We start from the raw sequence: 16160 nt of genomic DNA on the forward strand, positions 1-16160 counted from the left end.
GAGGATTGCCGGTACAGCGGAGTCCCGCAGGAGGATAGGTGTTGCCTTCTAGGTGGTAGGGAGGCTGAGAGGGCCATCCAGAGTAGGGACCACGAACTGGGGTCTCAACATGAAGAGTCGTTCATCAGATCTCAAGGGGGCAAGGCCCCCAGGCTAAGGAGGACTAGGGGTCAGGGTGGGGAGGATGCTGGGATTGGCTGGGTGCTGTCTCTATGGGAAACCTTGGAAAGAGTCTCAGGGTCTATTGAGAAAACATCCAGACTAGACTTTTTTCATGTGATAAAATATACGTAACATAACCATTTTTAAGTGTACAATTCAGTGGCATGAAGTACATTCACATTGTTGTGCAACCATCACCACCATCTACCTCCAGAATGGTTTCATCTTCCCAAACTGAAACTCTGTACCCATTAAATATTAACTCTTCATCCCCCAGCCCCCAGCCCCTGGTAACAACTACTCTACTTTCTAGCTCTGTGAATTTAAATACTTTAGGTATCTCATATAAGTGGAAGCAGGCTGAGAGTGGTGGCTCACACCTGTAATCCCAGCACTTCGGGAGGCTGAGGCAGGCAGATCACTTGAAGTCAAGAGTTTGAGACCAGCCTGGCCAACATGCTGAAACTCTGTCTCTACTAAAAATACAAAAATTAGCCGGGCATGGTGACTTATGCCTGTAGTCCCATCTACTCAGGAGGAGGCTGCAGCATGAGAATTGCTTGAGACTGAAAGGTGGAAGTTGCAGTGAGCCAAGATCACGCCACCGCACTCTAGCCTGGGCAACAGAGTGAGAACTCTGTCTCAAATAACTAACTAAATAAATAAATAAATAGACGCATATAATATTTGTCATTTTGTATTGACCGATTTCATTTAGCACAATGTCTTCAAAGTTCATCCATATTGTCACATGTCAGAATTTCCTTTCGTTTTAAGGTTGAGTAATATTCCACTTATATACACACCACATTTTGTTTATCCATTTATCTACTGATGGACATTTGGGTTGTTTCTACCTTTTGGCTATTGTGAATAATGCTGCAGCTACAGACTGAATATCTATGCCTCAATATTCTTATGTTGAAACCTAAGCCCTAATGTGTTGGTATTTGTAGGTGAGGACTTTAGGAGGTGATCAGGTCATGAGAGCAGAGCCCTCATGAATAAGCTTAGGCCTTTATAATAGACACCTCAGAAAACTCCATTACCCCTTCTTCGATGTGAGGTTATAGCAAGAAGATGGCTGTCTATGAACCAGAAAGTGGGTCCTCACCGGACACCAAATCTTCTGGTTCCTTGATCTTGAGCTTCCATCCTCCAGAACTGTGAGAAATAAATTTCTGTTCTGAATAGCCACTCAGTATGGTATTTTATTATAGCAGCCCTAACGGGATAAGACAGCCACTATAAACATTGGTGTGTGAATACAGCCTAGATGTTTCAAAGTGAAAAACTACGGCAATTTCAGTTAAGAAAACAACCGTTGGAGAGGCCAGTACAGTTACAATTACCAAGACCAGAGAGAGACCCAGGAACTCCAAATCCATCTCCTACCTGCTGTCAGTGACCTCTTGGCCCTGTTGGCACAGGCATCTCTGCAGAAATGAAGTGTGGTCATTCCAGGCCATGGGCTTTTCAATAGCAGCTAAAACCTCATCCCAGCCTCATGGAATACTGTACATGTTCAGTAGAGTGACAAGAATGTGACTCAGTGGATAAATCAGAAAGTTTTCAGAGTTGAAAAAGTCCATCGCAAACCTGCGAGATCCAGTATGCAAGAAAATGCTTGGAAAACGTTAGTGCTCAATAGTAAAGTAAATGTTTCAAACTAAACTCCTACAAATGAAGCCAAATGTAAGGTTCTATGTATAGACGAGAGACTCACCAATCAGGGACAGCATAGAGATCCTCACTACAGTGAGGTTTGCCTGGACCCATCCTGGTTTTTTAAAGCTAAAAGTCCTTTGTACTGGGAGCCCCCTCAGGCCAGGGCAAATCTCTTGTGCTCTTGGGCTTCACAGGGCCTTCAGCAAAGATGTCTCTGCCCTACTTGCCTCTGGGTGCCTGCAGGGGAAATACACACAGTGAGCAGGGAGTTTATAATCCCCATAATTGCAGCCACGTGTAGGAAAATAGCCTGTTGCATGGCAAGAGTGATGCCATCTTGAAGCAAAACCACCATTGTGACTGACGTTTGACTCCTGCATACCAAGGTGTTCGACAGCAAGGTCAAGAAACAATGCGTGTAGTATAGATAAACCATTGTAAAGATGCTTATCTAACTCCCCCAGAGGTTAGGAGTTTCACAAGAGTGTCTAAGATATGAACAGTTGCACATGCATTTATCCTAAAGCTTGCCGTATTAAGAGTACTTTCTGGAGGACAAGTGTGGGGACCTACTGTCTTGGCTGCCAGAGACATCACTTCCGTTCCTAAGTCCCTATTAAATGCTTCTTTCTGAAAAACTGGACTTGTCAGACTTTTACTTCAGCCTCTTATTACTTCAGCCTCTCAGCTCCCTTGGCCTTCAGGGGTGGGTGTGCGTTAGACCTGCTCACCGCAGAAGCTATGTAAATTAAAGGATGGCAACAGCAACGAGCCAAGCAAAGCCGATCTCCGCTAGCATGCATGAGGTGCCTTTGCATGGGTGAGAATTCGCCCTCTAAGTGGGCGAATTACAGAAAGACACTTTTCCTCCTGGATGATACACTCTTGCGCTCAGCCCATGTCGAGGTCTGGCTTATGACCCTCTTACCGCTAAAGCTCAAATCCCTTTTGGAAAACTCAATGTGCGTGATTATCTGGGAAGAGCACTCTGGAGAGCTCTGAGTAAGAGGCAAGTGAGCTTGTCCTGGAGTCATGTGAAACACAGAGCCCTGCAGCCCCCACTCCCTGCATCAGGAGTAAGGTTTATAAGGGCCCCGAGGTATTCTCATGGGCCTGCTCCTTTACCCCAGAAGTGGACACTGTCAGAAGGTGCAAAGTCTGTAGAATGCAGAGCTTACATGAAGAGGTGCAGTGAAACCCGTCCTGTGTGGTCCAGGCCTGTGTCATGGAACACTGTCCTCCAGACTTCTGGGTCACTCTCCCCTTAATGCCCAATTACATACAACCCGAGCCCCAGCCTGCTGGGACCACACAGCACTCCCGTGATCTGGGGCCCTGTGGCTTCCTCTTTCTCTGACCACTACTCAGGGCTCTTGGCACTTATGCTCCAGGCTGCTTGTCACACTTCCCTTGCTGCTGTAACTCGGAGCTACCCACTGTATGGACTGGAAACCAAGCAGTAGGGGGTGGGCATCACCCCTGCGCCCACAATTCCTGAGCCAGGTATCCAGGCCTGAGATAGGGGGCCCTACCTGGGGATTTGAGAAAGTGGATCCAGGCTCTGCAAAGGAGAAGACCTCTGGCATCTTCTTGAGCTGAGTACTGATGAAAGAGCAGGCCTGGGAGGAGGGCTTTCTCTGAGAAAAGAGGGTGATGGTCCAGGGGCTGAAGGATTTTAGCTCCCCAAAGAAGTGCCCTGGAGGAAGATGTGTGTGCGTCAGAGCAGTGAACATTTGTCCAAACTCTCCTCTCTCAGTCTCAGGGACTTCCACTTTAGCAGGAATGGAAGGTTATCCACACCCGACAGGTCTCCTTGGGGAAAGGTTAGTCAGGCATCTGAATGGGGAGGCAGGTGCATGGGAACAGCTGGCTTTGAGTGAAGGGCATGGGGGAGCTGCGGCAGGGCCGTGGGCAGCTGGTTTAGGTGCTCTACACCTGCACGTGCTGTGGCATGCCTGGAACCTGGGGGGCACACACAGAACACTTTGTTTTTTCCAATCACCAGCCACAACTGTGTCCCTTCCTGCCACTCACTCCTGACCCTGGTCAACTTCTAGGGCAGATTCCCAATTCTGGAGTCACTTGCAGCATTAAAAAAAAAAATCCAGCACAGCTTAGAGCCTCAATCTCTTTTCCAATGTGACGCCCGTCTCTTCCCCTCCCCCGGGCTGACCAGCACTGGCCACAGACAGCTGAAATGGGGGTGCAGGGGAGGGCATGGTCTGGCCTTTCTGTTCTCTCCTCCCTCTTTAGGACCTTTTCTTCCATGGTGTACTGGGGCAGGGAAGAAGAGGGTGGAAAGAGACCTGTCTCTTACATGACAGACACTATCGTCCTCCTCTGATCTGTTGCTGCTGTTTGGACTGGCTGTGTCTGGCTGTGAGGCTGTCTGACAGATGGGTCCCCATGGGGCATGTGTATGCATCCTACAGGACTTTCCATAAGAACAAGCAGAGATCTCCCTCCTCACAGTTCCCCATCAAGGGAAAACCCATGGTGTGGCCTCTTCTGAGCCCCCCTGCTCTGGACCCTGTGGTTGTCCTGCAACCTCTGCCTGATGGGTCCCCTTGCCTGGAAGGCAACCCTCTTAATCAGAGGTTTAAGCCCTCTAACTTTTAGGCGTCCACTTAGGGGACGGGAAACCCTATGTCCTTTCTCCCCCACATGGTGGGAGGGTAGAAGGCTCTAGGGTCCTCTGTCTGAACAGTTTCTTCCTGGCTCAGAGGCACGTGGTTGGGTGCCGCTTGTCTTTTCCAGGGCAGTTGGTAAAATCCTACCTAGCATCCTGTTAAACTGTTACCCAACACTGAGGGGGCAGTTTAGAACAGAATAGGCAGATGGCTCTAGTGGACAGTTAACTAGTAAGGAGGCAACACTGCAGTTGCCTGGTGTCTGTAGTTGGCGTCCTTTAGATGGAGACTGATGGCAGGGTTTTAGAGTATAGAAACTGGGGCAAGGAGCAGTGGCTCACGCCTATAATCCCAGCGCTTTGGGAGGTCGAGGCGGGTGGATCAGGTTGAGGTCAAGAGTTTGAGACCAGCCTGGCCAACATGGTGAAACCCCATCTCTACTAAAGATACAAAAATTAGCCGGGTGTGGTGGCACGCACCTGTAGTCCCAGCTACTCGGGAGGCTGAGGCACAAAAATCGCTTGAACCCAGGAGGCAGAGGTTGCAGTGAGGCGAGATTGTGCAACTGGACTCCAGCCTGGGCAACAAGAGTGAGACTCCGTCTCAAAAGAAAAAAAAAGAAAAGAAAAAAGAAAGTGGGGGCACGTTTCATCTCACATGGTATGGGTCGCATGCTTCTTATCCAGTAGACCCACGGGGATAGTTCCAAGGAGGTGGAGGAGGGCAGGAGGGGAAAGAGAGAATCAAAGTCTTAAATAGGGGTGAGGGAGTTTTGGCAGGGCAGGGATCCCAAAATAAAAAAGACCCATTGTTCCCTGGACTGGAAGGAGCCCTAGGAATCCTCAGTGGGGATTTCCACAGGAAGAAAACTGGCTTGTTCGTCTCCTGGGTCCTGGTACCAGGGAACCAACCGTAAATCAGTGGAGGGCCAACAGCAGAGGTGACGTGAGCAGAGAGGTGTCCAGAAAGGCTGCTCTGACAACTGGGAGACATGCAGTGGCAGAACCCAGGCCTGAGAGCTGTGGTGAGAACCAAGGCGGCCAGGCCTGGACCAGGATGGGGGAGTCCATGGGAGCGATGAGAAGCAGACGGCGCAGAGAGGCCTTCAGAGGCTCGTGTGGGCAGTGGGGAGAGGAGCGAGTAGGTGGAGCGGGAGTGATGGGGGTGACTGAGCCAGGGAGAACGAGCAGGGTCTGGGTGGGCCCACTCAGGGCATAAGCTAGGGAAATACCAGGAAAATCCCCAAAGACAGAGTCCTGAGAGGAATCCAAGCTGTGGCATGAAAGAAATTAACTGTGGAGTGTGGAAATTGCAACCCAGACCCAAGTCAAATGGAGAAGCCTTCTAGAAATGCAGCACTGCTGACAAAGGGACCCTCTACAAAGTGCTCACTTTCCCAGAGGAGAAGGAATTTACTGAAACCTGAGAGAGAAATGTAGATGCTCTCGTACCCGCTCTGAGCTCTGCTCAGAGGCTCCTAAGAGGGCTCCCTTAATAAAATAAAATATTTTCACAACAAAGTGAATAACCGTTAAGTAATCTGCAACATAAATACACATGATTGTCAGTATCCCCAAGATGAAAACTGAGCGGCTCATTCCAGAGCTAAACTTTCAACTGCCAACGTCTGTAACAAGGAGTGGAGTATTCCTGGGATATCGAGAAGGAATATTGGTGACCCAGGACCTGAGCCCAGCTCTCAGGCCTGGGAGTTCAAGAGCCTGAACAAAGGCATGAGAGATTTGGTTGGTAGCAAGAGCCCAACATCACCCAGGGTTCTCGGGAAGCTATTCAACAAGTTATTAGAATTGCTTTCTTCGATGTGCAGCCGCTGTTTTTCCCTTGAAGAAACCAGAACATTGGGTCAGGTGTAGAGAAGGTGGAAGGGTCGTGGCAGGTACCTTGCTCAGCCTGGGGCAGTGGGCATCCCAGCCCAGGTGGCAGCTTCCCTGGGGTGTAGGTGTGGAGATGGGCAAGGTTTGCAGGAGTTCCTGTGGGCCAGAGACAAAAGAGGCCAGTCAGCTTCTGGAAGCCAAATAGACCAGGAGGGCCTTTTGAAAAGACTGAGAAGGTCCTGGGTGGTGGCCCTGGCCCAGCCCTGGAGGGGCTGCTGGCAGTGGAGAGGGGAAGAACCTGGGGGGCAGAGGTGGAGTGGAAATGCTGTTCCTGTTTGGGAAAGGGCAGGACAAGGGCAGGTACTTTGACCCGGAACGGGCTCTTCTGGGAACACAGAGACTCCAGTGACAGAGGGACGCTCCCCAGCCTCACACACCTCAATCATCTTTGGATTGTTCCAAATGGATAAAGAAGATGAGGTTTAAAGAGCTTTGAGGTGTTCAGTAAGGCAGCCAGGTTAGGCTTCAGAAAGGTGGTGTTCTACAGGGGCCAAGTGTGTGTGGTACGGCCAGGAAGGGCTGTCCTTGTGGCCTTGTTTGCCATTCCCCTGCCTCCTTTCTGGGGTGGCCTTCACTAGTTCCCCCATCACCTCCCCCAGCTCTGTCCTGCCCAGGCCCCAGGAGGAACCCAGCTGCTTTAGGAGCACAGCAGCCAAGCGGGTCACAGCACAGTCTGACACAGGCCGGCAGGGCAGGGACCATCATGCCTCCTGGCTCCAGATGCACTGGGCAAGGGCCTGGGGTATACGGGCACTTTCTGAACCAGCTTCCAGGATGCAAAAAGAAGGAAGCCAGCTGTGCCAATGTGAATATTACAACTCCCACACTTGGCAAAGAACATCTACCACGCACATCCTCCATGAGGCAAAGAATAGGCTGGTGGATGCATCTGCAGTGAAGATGCCAGATAAAGGCTGACTCCAGTGTGACCCTGCAGGTGCGCCTCACCCAAATGTGCCCAAGCCCAGAGCAGTGACCAGCAATACAATGGCAGTGACGACTGGTAGGGAGGGCAGTGGGACTTCGGGGCTGTGTGCCCACCTCAGGATCCATTGCTCCTGGATCTCACCTTTCTGCAGGGGAAGAGCAAGAACCCATGAGTGCCTGGCCTGGGGCCGAGCGGAGCTGTTCCTACCCTGTGCCCATCTGGCACCAGCTACTCATAGAGGGCGTGCTCAGTTGCCACTGGATTTCAAGGATGATGTTCAAGAAGTTGTCTTTAGTCTGGATTCTAATGGCCATTGTGGGTAGGGGCTTTTGGAGGCTGAGAGGAAGAAGGATGAGGAGGAGGGGGAGGCAAAACGGTCTCCACATATCTGTACTGCTTGGAGGTACCGTGGTCTTCCCTAACCTGTGTGGATCTGAAGTGGCCTGGCCCACATCCTCTGTAAAGGCCCAGCACGGGTGAGGGCGGTGCAGGAGATTCAGGGGGTGTGGGGGTTGGGGGGGATGATGAGGTGTGGGGAGAAGCCCCAGTGGACTGATACTCTTTTCTGATATGGAACCTCCACGACAAACACATCAACTTATTCATCATTTTCTGTAAAGAAAAGATCAGTAAGGCTGGAAACAATGTAAAAGGTTTCTCCTCACCTCACCAAGGAAGATAAGACAGAGCAGGCACGGCTGAGAGGCAGCCTGGCTCTGAGCTCACCTGGGTCTGTCTGTGCCCCTGCCTAGCTAGCATCTGGTCCTGTCCTTCCCTGGACAGCTCTGACCTGCAGCTGCCCACCCAGGCCGGCCCTTCCCCTCTCTCCCTGGGAGGCAGACAAGACTTCGCATGGCAACATCATCTACACAACTAATGCTCCATGTGAAGTCTCCCCCACTTAAGAGAGCATTTCCTGAGGGCCTGGACTGCCAGGTTCTTAGCATTTATGCCCCAACCTTGTCACCTCACAGTTTGGGGGCAGCTTCTTTGAGAACGGGGAGCTCTTGGTTTTGTCTGCGATAGATATGATAAATGCAATAGGAATGCATCTTCCAAAGCTTTGTATTTCAGGTGGGTAACAAGAGAGTGACAGACACTGAAAGCCCATAACTTATTAATAACAATAGGAACCATATGGCCACCCCAGGTATCCAGATATTGGAGCCCTGGATTGAGGCCAACAGATGGAGCACCTGCAGCCCCAAACCCAGCACTCCCTAGGGAACACTTCTTCTGTGGCTTGCCTGGCTCCAGATCATCCTTTAGGTCATAGCTGTCCTTTCCTCCTGTCTTCTCTGATGGTGCAGGCTGGATGAGGCTGCCTCATTTCTGGGCTTCTGTCTCCCACAGGCATATCATTCTAAATGGGGATTCTCCAACTGTCTTCTCTATTAGACTGGGCCTGGGATGGAGGGTCTGCTCTGCACCGACTGGGCCCCAAGGAAGCCATGACCCTGCAGCAGGGAATAGAAAGGCGAGGGTGCACAGGTGGAGGCTGTGTAGGTCTTGGGGATGGAGTGCAGAGCCAGGTTGGGACAGGAGGCCAGGGCTCTCCAGCTGGGCCCGCTCGGTGGCTTTTTCCTGAGCTCTCTGCTCAGGTGAGCAGGGGACATCTGGTTGCACTGCTTGGCTGGCCAAGAACCCTGAGCTGCCTTCTGTGGTGACAAAACCAGGCGATGTCATCAGGGCCACCAGCGGAAATACAACCGAGGTCATGGGCAGATTAAATCTGACACTTGTGATGCCATGGAAAGGGTGGCGGAGGAGCTTGTCACAGTGACTGAGGCCCAGGTTCTTGCCTGTGGCGGGTACCCCAGAAAATTCCACTAGGCCTGTGGGGGTGAGTGATGGGAAGAAGGAGGCATGTACCTCTAGTTGGACTGGACCCTGAGGGCCAGGACTTCCAACAATGTGGCCCACTCCATAGGGATGGGGTCAGGCCCACAGGGATCCATTAGACAGGGGTCCAGAGACCCCTCCTGAAACCTCCAGGGCTTTGGCAGACCCTGGGCTGCAGTCTTGGGCTGGCTCTCCTGTCCGGGCCCTGGCACACCCTCCCTCATGCCTGCCCCAGGGGTGGGCACGTGTGCTCATTTCCCTTCTTGATAGCAATCAGCCCAGCCCACAAAGGAGGTTTCCCCTAAGCCGGGCTGGGTTGACACAAAGGCCTGGGGTGGAATCACCATCTTACAGGGGACCAGGTCTCTCCTCAAGGGCTGGCAGGACTGTCGCCTCTGGAGGAGGGAAGTGGTGCCCATGATTTTGCATGAAGCTCCTATAGAGTCAAGGCAAACCTTGAAGGAGACCCCCAGGATGACCCAGGCTATGCCTCGGTCCAAGGGCTCACGGAAGCGCTGTGGTGGCCAACTACCCAGATATCCTTGGCAGCCCCTTTGGAATGAGGTTTGCTTTTAGGAACATGTCCCTCCATTCCTCCCTGGTTCATCGAACGGCAGCAGGTATTGGGCTGCAGTCACTGGGCCTCTCCGGGGTCCGGGGCTGCACCACCTCCTGCCTCCTTTGCTCTGCCCAGCTGGCCTCCCTGCCCATCCCAGCCTCCTCCCATGGCCCCACTCCCTGCCTCTGGGGCCTTCCATTCCATATTCTTGCCTGCCAAGGCCCTGGGTCCTCCCAACCTCCTCGCCCTCTGACCCCAGGCTGCCAGCCCCTCAAGGTCACCTCCAGGTAGTCACAGCTCAAGCCACCAAACCTCACCACCCTTATTGCTTCTAGCCCCACCTCAGGGGCTGACTTGACCTCTATTTCACAGAGAACACAGAAGCCATTGTCCCCTCCCACCACAAACCTGTGGACCAACCAGGCCCACCCCACTGCACCTACCCCACCCAGATGGACTGGGCCACCCAGGCAGCCCTTCCCTGAGCTCTCTGCGAGGAGCCCGTGACAGCTGATGGTGGGGCTCTGCCTGTGCTGGCCGGCCAGCCATCTCACCCATTCCCGGCTCACCTCCTTAAGAGAGGAAGGAGCTCAAACTTCTGTGTGGAAGGTGCGTCTCTGACCCTGTGACTCCTCTGGCTGCCCCATCCCCCTCTTTCCTTCAAAATAAAACTTCAAAGAATCTTCTACCCTCCGTCTCACCGTCACTCGCTTCTCAGCCCACTGCCAGAGGCTTTGCCCCACCATACACTGAAACTACTCCGCCAGAGGCCTCAGGGATCTCCCCGTCAGTAATCAGAGTGGTTACATCTCATCCTCACCCTGCTGTCCCCTCCTGCCACATGGCATCATCCTTTAAGGCCGTCATTGTCCGATGCTGCCCAGGGGGTGCTCAGCCTCTGGGTTGGACTGTTCTGCTTATCTCAGTCCCAGTGATGTCACTTCCTAGCTACATCAGCTCAGCTTCTCTGAGACTCAGTTTCTTCATCTGGAAAATGGGGCTAATAACAGCACCTGCCTCACAGTTCATCATGAGGATTAACAAGTTCAGCCATGAAAAGAACTTAGTTCTCCACACTTCACAAGTGCCACTCAATAGAAGTCAGCTGTGAGAGCGCTTCCCTTCACCCAGTCCTCTCCACCCCGTAAGAACCTACCTAGTCCAGCTTCCCACCACCTGTCTTCCAGAGGACTCCCAATATCTCCTCACTGGCCACCCTGCTGCCTTGAACTTTCTCATCCTTTCCCCCACAGCAGGTGCACCTGAGCTTCACCTCGCCTCCCCTGGTTGAAAACCCCGCAAGTCCTCCAATGCTCCTAGCATGAAGCCTCAACCTCTTTTGCCTTTAATAAACTATGTGTATATATATAATTTTTTTGGAGAGATGGTCTCACTCCAACGCCCAGGCTGGAGTGCAGTGGCACAATCACAACTCACTGCAGCCTTGACCTCCCAGGCTCAGGTGGTCCTCCCACATCAGCCTCCTAAGTAGCTGGGACCACAGGTGTGCACCACCACGCCTGGCTAATTTTTTGTATTTTTTGTAGAGATGAGGTTTCGCCAAATTGCTCAGGCTGGTATATATTCATTTTTAAAATGAGAAAAACACTACAAATGTCAAGATTTACAATACTACTATTCAGGATTTTGTGTGCATGTGTGGTTACAACACAAAGTCTTGACTTTTAAAGAAACAAAAAAAAATACAGGAATGTTTTGTCTCCACAGCTTTAAATTCATTGAACTTTAAAATTCCCTAGAAAAGCCCACTTACACTAAAAAAAATACAGCTTTTCTCTGTAAGGAATCACATTATTTGTGCACAAGTCCCCAAAACGTTTACATAGACAGTAACACCAAGGTACAGTTGAGTATGCAAGGAACAAACTCTGGGTCCGTGGGGCAATAGGGGACCCTACCGGAGCTAAGATTGCTGAGGTAGTTAGATCAGAGCCCCTCAAATGCACTGAATCACTGAGGATCTTATCAAAATGCGATTTTTGATTCAGAAAGTCTGGGCTGGGGCCTGAGGGTTGACACCGCTAACAAGCTCCCGGGCAGGGCTGACCTGCAGGTCTGGGACCACAGGAAGGGTAGCAAGACTGGAAATCTGTCTCCTCACAAGACTGAGCTGCTAGTGGAGGTTACCATGTCTGTTTTATTCACAGCAAGTGCTTTGTAGACGTCTGTTGAATGAATTGTGCCTACGGAGTACGCAAGCTGGTGCTAAGGCTCCCCTCTGTGTGTTGAGTTGTGCCTGTCAGACTCCACTCCGGGTCCAGAACCTAGGGCTCTTCCTGGTCCAGGGCCCAGCCTGGGGCTGAGCCAGGAGGGCATATCAGCTACAGAAATCATCCTCACAGCATGGCCTTGAGTCACAGCCTCTTCACCTGCCTCCCCACAGCCACATCCTGGTCCTTGTCTTCACCTGATCTGCTTATGCTCAGAAGCCCAAAGCACCCAAATTCCGCTGCCTCAGCATAACCTCCTATCCCGCATCCCCCACACTGATCACAACACACCGCACCATGACCCAGACCCTGGCCTTTCCTTACTGCTCTCCTCTCCCTCCCACCCGGGGCCAGTCATCTTGAAGAAGTCTTCCACATGCCCCTGTCACACTCATCCCTTTACCAAAAGCCCCTACCCCATGGGGTGGGTCAGGCAGGCCCCAAGACAGGCCCGTATCAGGAGGACCCCTCTTCTCTCAGGGGCTGCCCTCTGGGATAACCACCCCCGCCCTTCTGGGTTTCCTGCTTCCTATCTGGCTGCAGTTTCTCAGGTCCCTTGTGGATTTCCCCATGGTCTGTCCCCACTCACATCCCCTCTCTGCAAACCTTGCCTACTGGGCCTGCACCTGGCAAATCCATGCTCAGCACAGACGGGGATCAAGACCTCTCAATACAACTGTCTCCTGCCAATCCCTGCCCCAGCAGCCTGAGGCCCAGTCTGAAACCAGGGAGTTGCTCTCCTTTCTCCTCCCTTGACCTCACCCCTCAGACCATGCCAATTCTGCCTCCTAAACCTCCCAGGCCAGCCCCTCCCCCAGCTCCCAGTGACAGTGTCCTCAGGTACCTGAGCTCAGCTCTCGGTGCTACCAGAGGGACTGCCAGGGGCTGCAGCCGGGCCTCCTGCAGAGGCTGAGTCCCACACGCAGGGAACAGCCATGCCACTGCTAGCAGACCAGTAAGAGAATGGCCACCTGGGGCCTGAGCGCCCTCGGCCATCCACCAGAAACAAAGTGTCAAGGAGAAGCTGCCCGAAGCCCATGGGACAAACCACTGGGGACTGGAACACCAGTAATTCTGTATTGGGAAGCGGCACCAAGAGATGTGCTTCTCAGAGCCTGAGGCTGAACGTGGATGTTTAGCAGCGTGACCGGCTACCAGACAAACTCTCATCTGTTCCAGTGGCCTCCTGGCCACCCACCAGGACCAAGCAGGGCGGGCAGCAGAGGGCCAGGGTAGTCCAGGTGATGGCAGATGAGATCCCACTGGGCAGGAGGCCTCAGTGAGCTGAGTCAGGCTTCCCCTTCCTGCCACAGGGGTCCTCTCACCTGCTGCCATGCTTCCCATCTCTCATCCTCCTTGACAAGATGAAGTGATACCGTTTAAGTAATCTTTTTTCTTGTTTCACTGATCTTGAGTACTAGAAAGTCATGGATGAATAATTACGTCTGTGGTTTTCTATGGAGGTTCCATGTCAGATAAAGATCCTTCCGACGCCTGCCCCACACCACCACCTCCCCCCGCCTTGCCCGGGGTTGTGGGCACCTTGCTGCTGCACATATAAGGCGGGAGGCTGTTGCCAACTCTTCAGAGCCCCACGAAGGACCAGAACAAGACAGAGTGCCTCCTGCCGATCCAAACATGAGCCGCCTGCCCGTCCTGCTCCTGCTCCAACTCCTGGTCCGCCCCGGACTCCAAGCTCCCATGACCCAGACAACGCCCTTGAAGACAAGCTGGGTTAACTGCTCTAACATGATCGATGAAATTATAACACACTTAAAGCAGCCACCTTTGCCTTTGCTGGTGAGTAGCTTGGATAAGACTGGCCTGCAGCAGTGAGGGGTGGTGGCTGCCTAAGGCCAAAAGGCCTCATGGGCCTTTCTCTCCCTTCACCCCCACAGGACTTCAACAACCTCAATGGGGAAGACCAAGACATTCTGATGGTAAGAGCTCAGCCCGTGGATCCCGATCCACTTCCTGCCTGGGTGACTTCAGCCATGTCATTCCATCTTACCTAGCCTTGCTTTCTTCATCTGTAAAATAGGGTTAATAGCACCTATCTCAGTGGGATTGTTATGACAATCAAATGGCACAATGTGCATGTTCTGGCCCAGCATCTGGCACTTAAGAGTTCAATACATGGCCACAGCCATGGCTATAATAATGAAAATGACTTTTAAATTAGAAAATGAAAAGGCAGTTCTAGGTGAGGAATACCAAGGGCCTTAAGGTCAGTGTTTGGTAGGGCAGACTCTGGACTGACAGACAGAAATTTCCCCCTCAGATGTGCCAGCTTCTTTTTCCCTTAAAAAATTGAGTTTGTGTTTTCCACCCTCATTGGCTGTGGCATTATCATTTACAGTTATTTTTCATGGTTCCAGTTGGTTGCAGTTGTTCTGTCTCACCTTTGCATGACATTTCTTGGGTCAAACAAGAAGTGGAAGCCTTTGCTGAGTTCCTGGGCCATCTGTGTTTGGGGCACTCACAGCTCACATGCTGCACCCATTTCCATGCTGGGGTCTCTGTGATTTTCTTCTTGATTTCTAGGAGACTTTAATTCAGTCAGGGCATGAACACTGTTATCAGCCTCTGAGCTACAAATACTTCCCTTGGAAAACCCCCTGTCTTTTGTAGAGCTTCTTTTTGGAGATATTTTTTCCCCCAAGTGCAGAAAGATCCACCTAGGTACCCCCTCCCCACCCATTTTTTTTTTTTTTTTTGAGACAAGAGTCTCACTCTGTTGCCCAGGCTGGAGTGCAGTGGCACGATCTCAGCTCACTGCTACCTCTGCCTCCTGAGTTCAAGCAATTCTCCTGTCTCAGCCTCCCAAGTAGCTAGGATTACAGGCATGCACCACCACTCCCATTTTTGTATTTTTAGTAGAGACGGGGTTTCACCATATTGGTCAGGCTGGTCTTGAACTCGACCTCAGGTTATCTGCCTGCCTCGGCCTCCCAAAGTGCTGGGATTACAGGCTTGAGCCACTGCGCCCAGCCCACCTAGGCCCTTTATGTAGCTCAAATGGAGCCAGAGACTGGGGGCTTGAGGAAACCAGGTCCTGCCTGCCACTCACTTCTAGGCCTGTGCCCTTGGGCAGGGACCCACCTGAGGCAAGAACGGGACTAGGAGGGAACCCGAGGATGTCCCCAACAGTGGGCTTGGGAAACTGTGGGGGTGACTTCCACCTGCTTGTGGGAGGGATACTCTGTAACCTTTCCCCCTTAAGTGTATTCTCTGCCCCGTTAGGAAAATAACCTTCGAAGGCCAAACCTGGAGGCATTCAACAGGGCTGTCAAGAGTTTACAGAACGCATCAGCAATTGAGAGCATTCTTAAAGTATGTGAAGCTGTTGAGGGTTTGGGATCCCTGTGTTGGCCCTGCCCTGCCTCTGGGGAGGAGAGCAGGGCCCACTCCCTTTCCAAGGGAATCTCTGACCATCTGCTTTGGTCTCTTTCCACAGAATCTCCTGCCATGTCTGCCCCTGGCCACGGCCGCACCCACGGTAAGCTGTCCCCCAAGATGCCCGTCATGGCTTGCTCCTCAGCTGGTCATCACCATTACAGCCTGGACTCACCTAATGCCACCTTCTTGGTTTCTTTATAGCGACATCCAATCCATATCAAGGACGGTGACTGGAATGAATTCCGGAGGAAACTGACGTTCTATCTGAAAACCCTTGAGAATGCGCAGGCTCAACAGACGACTTTGAGCCTCGCGATCTTTTGAGTCCAACGTCCAGCTCGTTCTCTGGGCCTTCTCACCACAGAGCCTCGGGACATCAAAAACAGCAGAACTTCTGAAACCTCTGGGTCATCTCTCACACATTCCAGGACCAGAAGCATTTCACCTTTTCCTGCGGCATCAGATGAATTGTTAATTATCTAATTTCTGAAATGTGCAGCTCCCATTTGGCCTTGTGCGGTTGTGTTCTCATTTTTATCCCATTGAGACTATTTATTTATGTATGTATGTATTTATTTATTTATTGCCTGGAGTGTGAACTGTATTTATTTTAGCAGAGGAGCCATGTCCTGCTGCTTCTGCAAAAAACTCAGAGTGGGGTGGGGAGCATGTTCATTTGTACCTCGAGTTTTAAACTGGTTCCTAGGGATGTGTGAGAATAAACTAGACTCTGAACAACTGCTTTGTTACCAGTGTCTCAATTTGACTTGGGACTTAGTGACCATTTTAAGGGAGACTGGTGTGCCACAAATCCTGGGTGGCTTGATCCTGCCACGTGGATGCTGT

At 51.8% G+C, this 16160-nt stretch overlaps 1 protein-coding gene and 1 long non-coding RNA gene across 4 annotated transcripts; one reads left to right on the plus strand and one right to left on the minus strand.

Annotated features, from left to right (window-relative positions):
* Positions 1 to 267: 267 nt before the first annotated feature.
* Positions 268 to 15738, minus strand: LOC105379174 (uncharacterized). 3 transcript variants are annotated; one of them, XR_001742531.2, is made up of 5 exons: positions 15487 to 15559; positions 14318 to 14455; positions 6362 to 6451; positions 3363 to 3526; positions 268 to 2067 (listed from the first exon to the last, which is right to left on the minus strand). It is a non-coding gene; the product is annotated as an uncharacterized LOC105379174 (long non-coding RNA). The 3 variants fall into 3 exon arrangements; XR_948785.3 differs by having other exon boundaries at positions 844 to 2067; positions 14318 to 14463; positions 15487 to 15568; XR_948784.3 differs by lacking the exons at positions 268 to 2067; positions 3363 to 3526; positions 6362 to 6451 and adding an exon at positions 8331 to 8740 and having other exon boundaries at positions 14318 to 14463; positions 15487 to 15738.
* Positions 13502 to 16051, plus strand: IL3 (interleukin 3). Its single transcript, NM_000588.4, has 5 exons — positions 13502 to 13715; positions 13814 to 13855; positions 15159 to 15248; positions 15373 to 15414; positions 15516 to 16051. Exons 1-5 carry the CDS (start codon positions 13554 to 13556, stop codon positions 15636 to 15638), a joined length of 459 nt encoding a protein of 152 aa, NP_000579.2. The 5' UTR covers positions 13502 to 13553; the 3' UTR covers positions 15639 to 16051.
* Positions 16052 to 16160: the final 109 nt, after the last annotated feature.

Source organism: Homo sapiens, chromosome 5 (genome assembly GCF_000001405.40).
Source record: "Homo sapiens chromosome 5, GRCh38.p14 Primary Assembly".
Taxonomy (NCBI): domain Eukaryota; kingdom Metazoa; phylum Chordata; class Mammalia; order Primates; family Hominidae; genus Homo; species Homo sapiens.

Excerpts from the sequence above, each read along its gene's own strand:
- IL3 (NM_000588.4), top strand. The coding sequence starts at position 13,554 with ATGAGCCGCCTGCCCGTCCTGCTCCTGCTCCAACTCCTGGTCCGCCCC. Across the intron at positions 13,716-13,813 it reads AGCCACCTTTGCCTTTGCTG|GACTTCAACAACCTCAATGG; the intron begins GTGAGTAGCTTG and ends TCACCCCCACAG. Across the intron at positions 15,415-15,515 it reads TGGCCACGGCCGCACCCACG|CGACATCCAATCCATATCAA; the intron begins GTAAGCTGTCCC and ends GTTTCTTTATAG.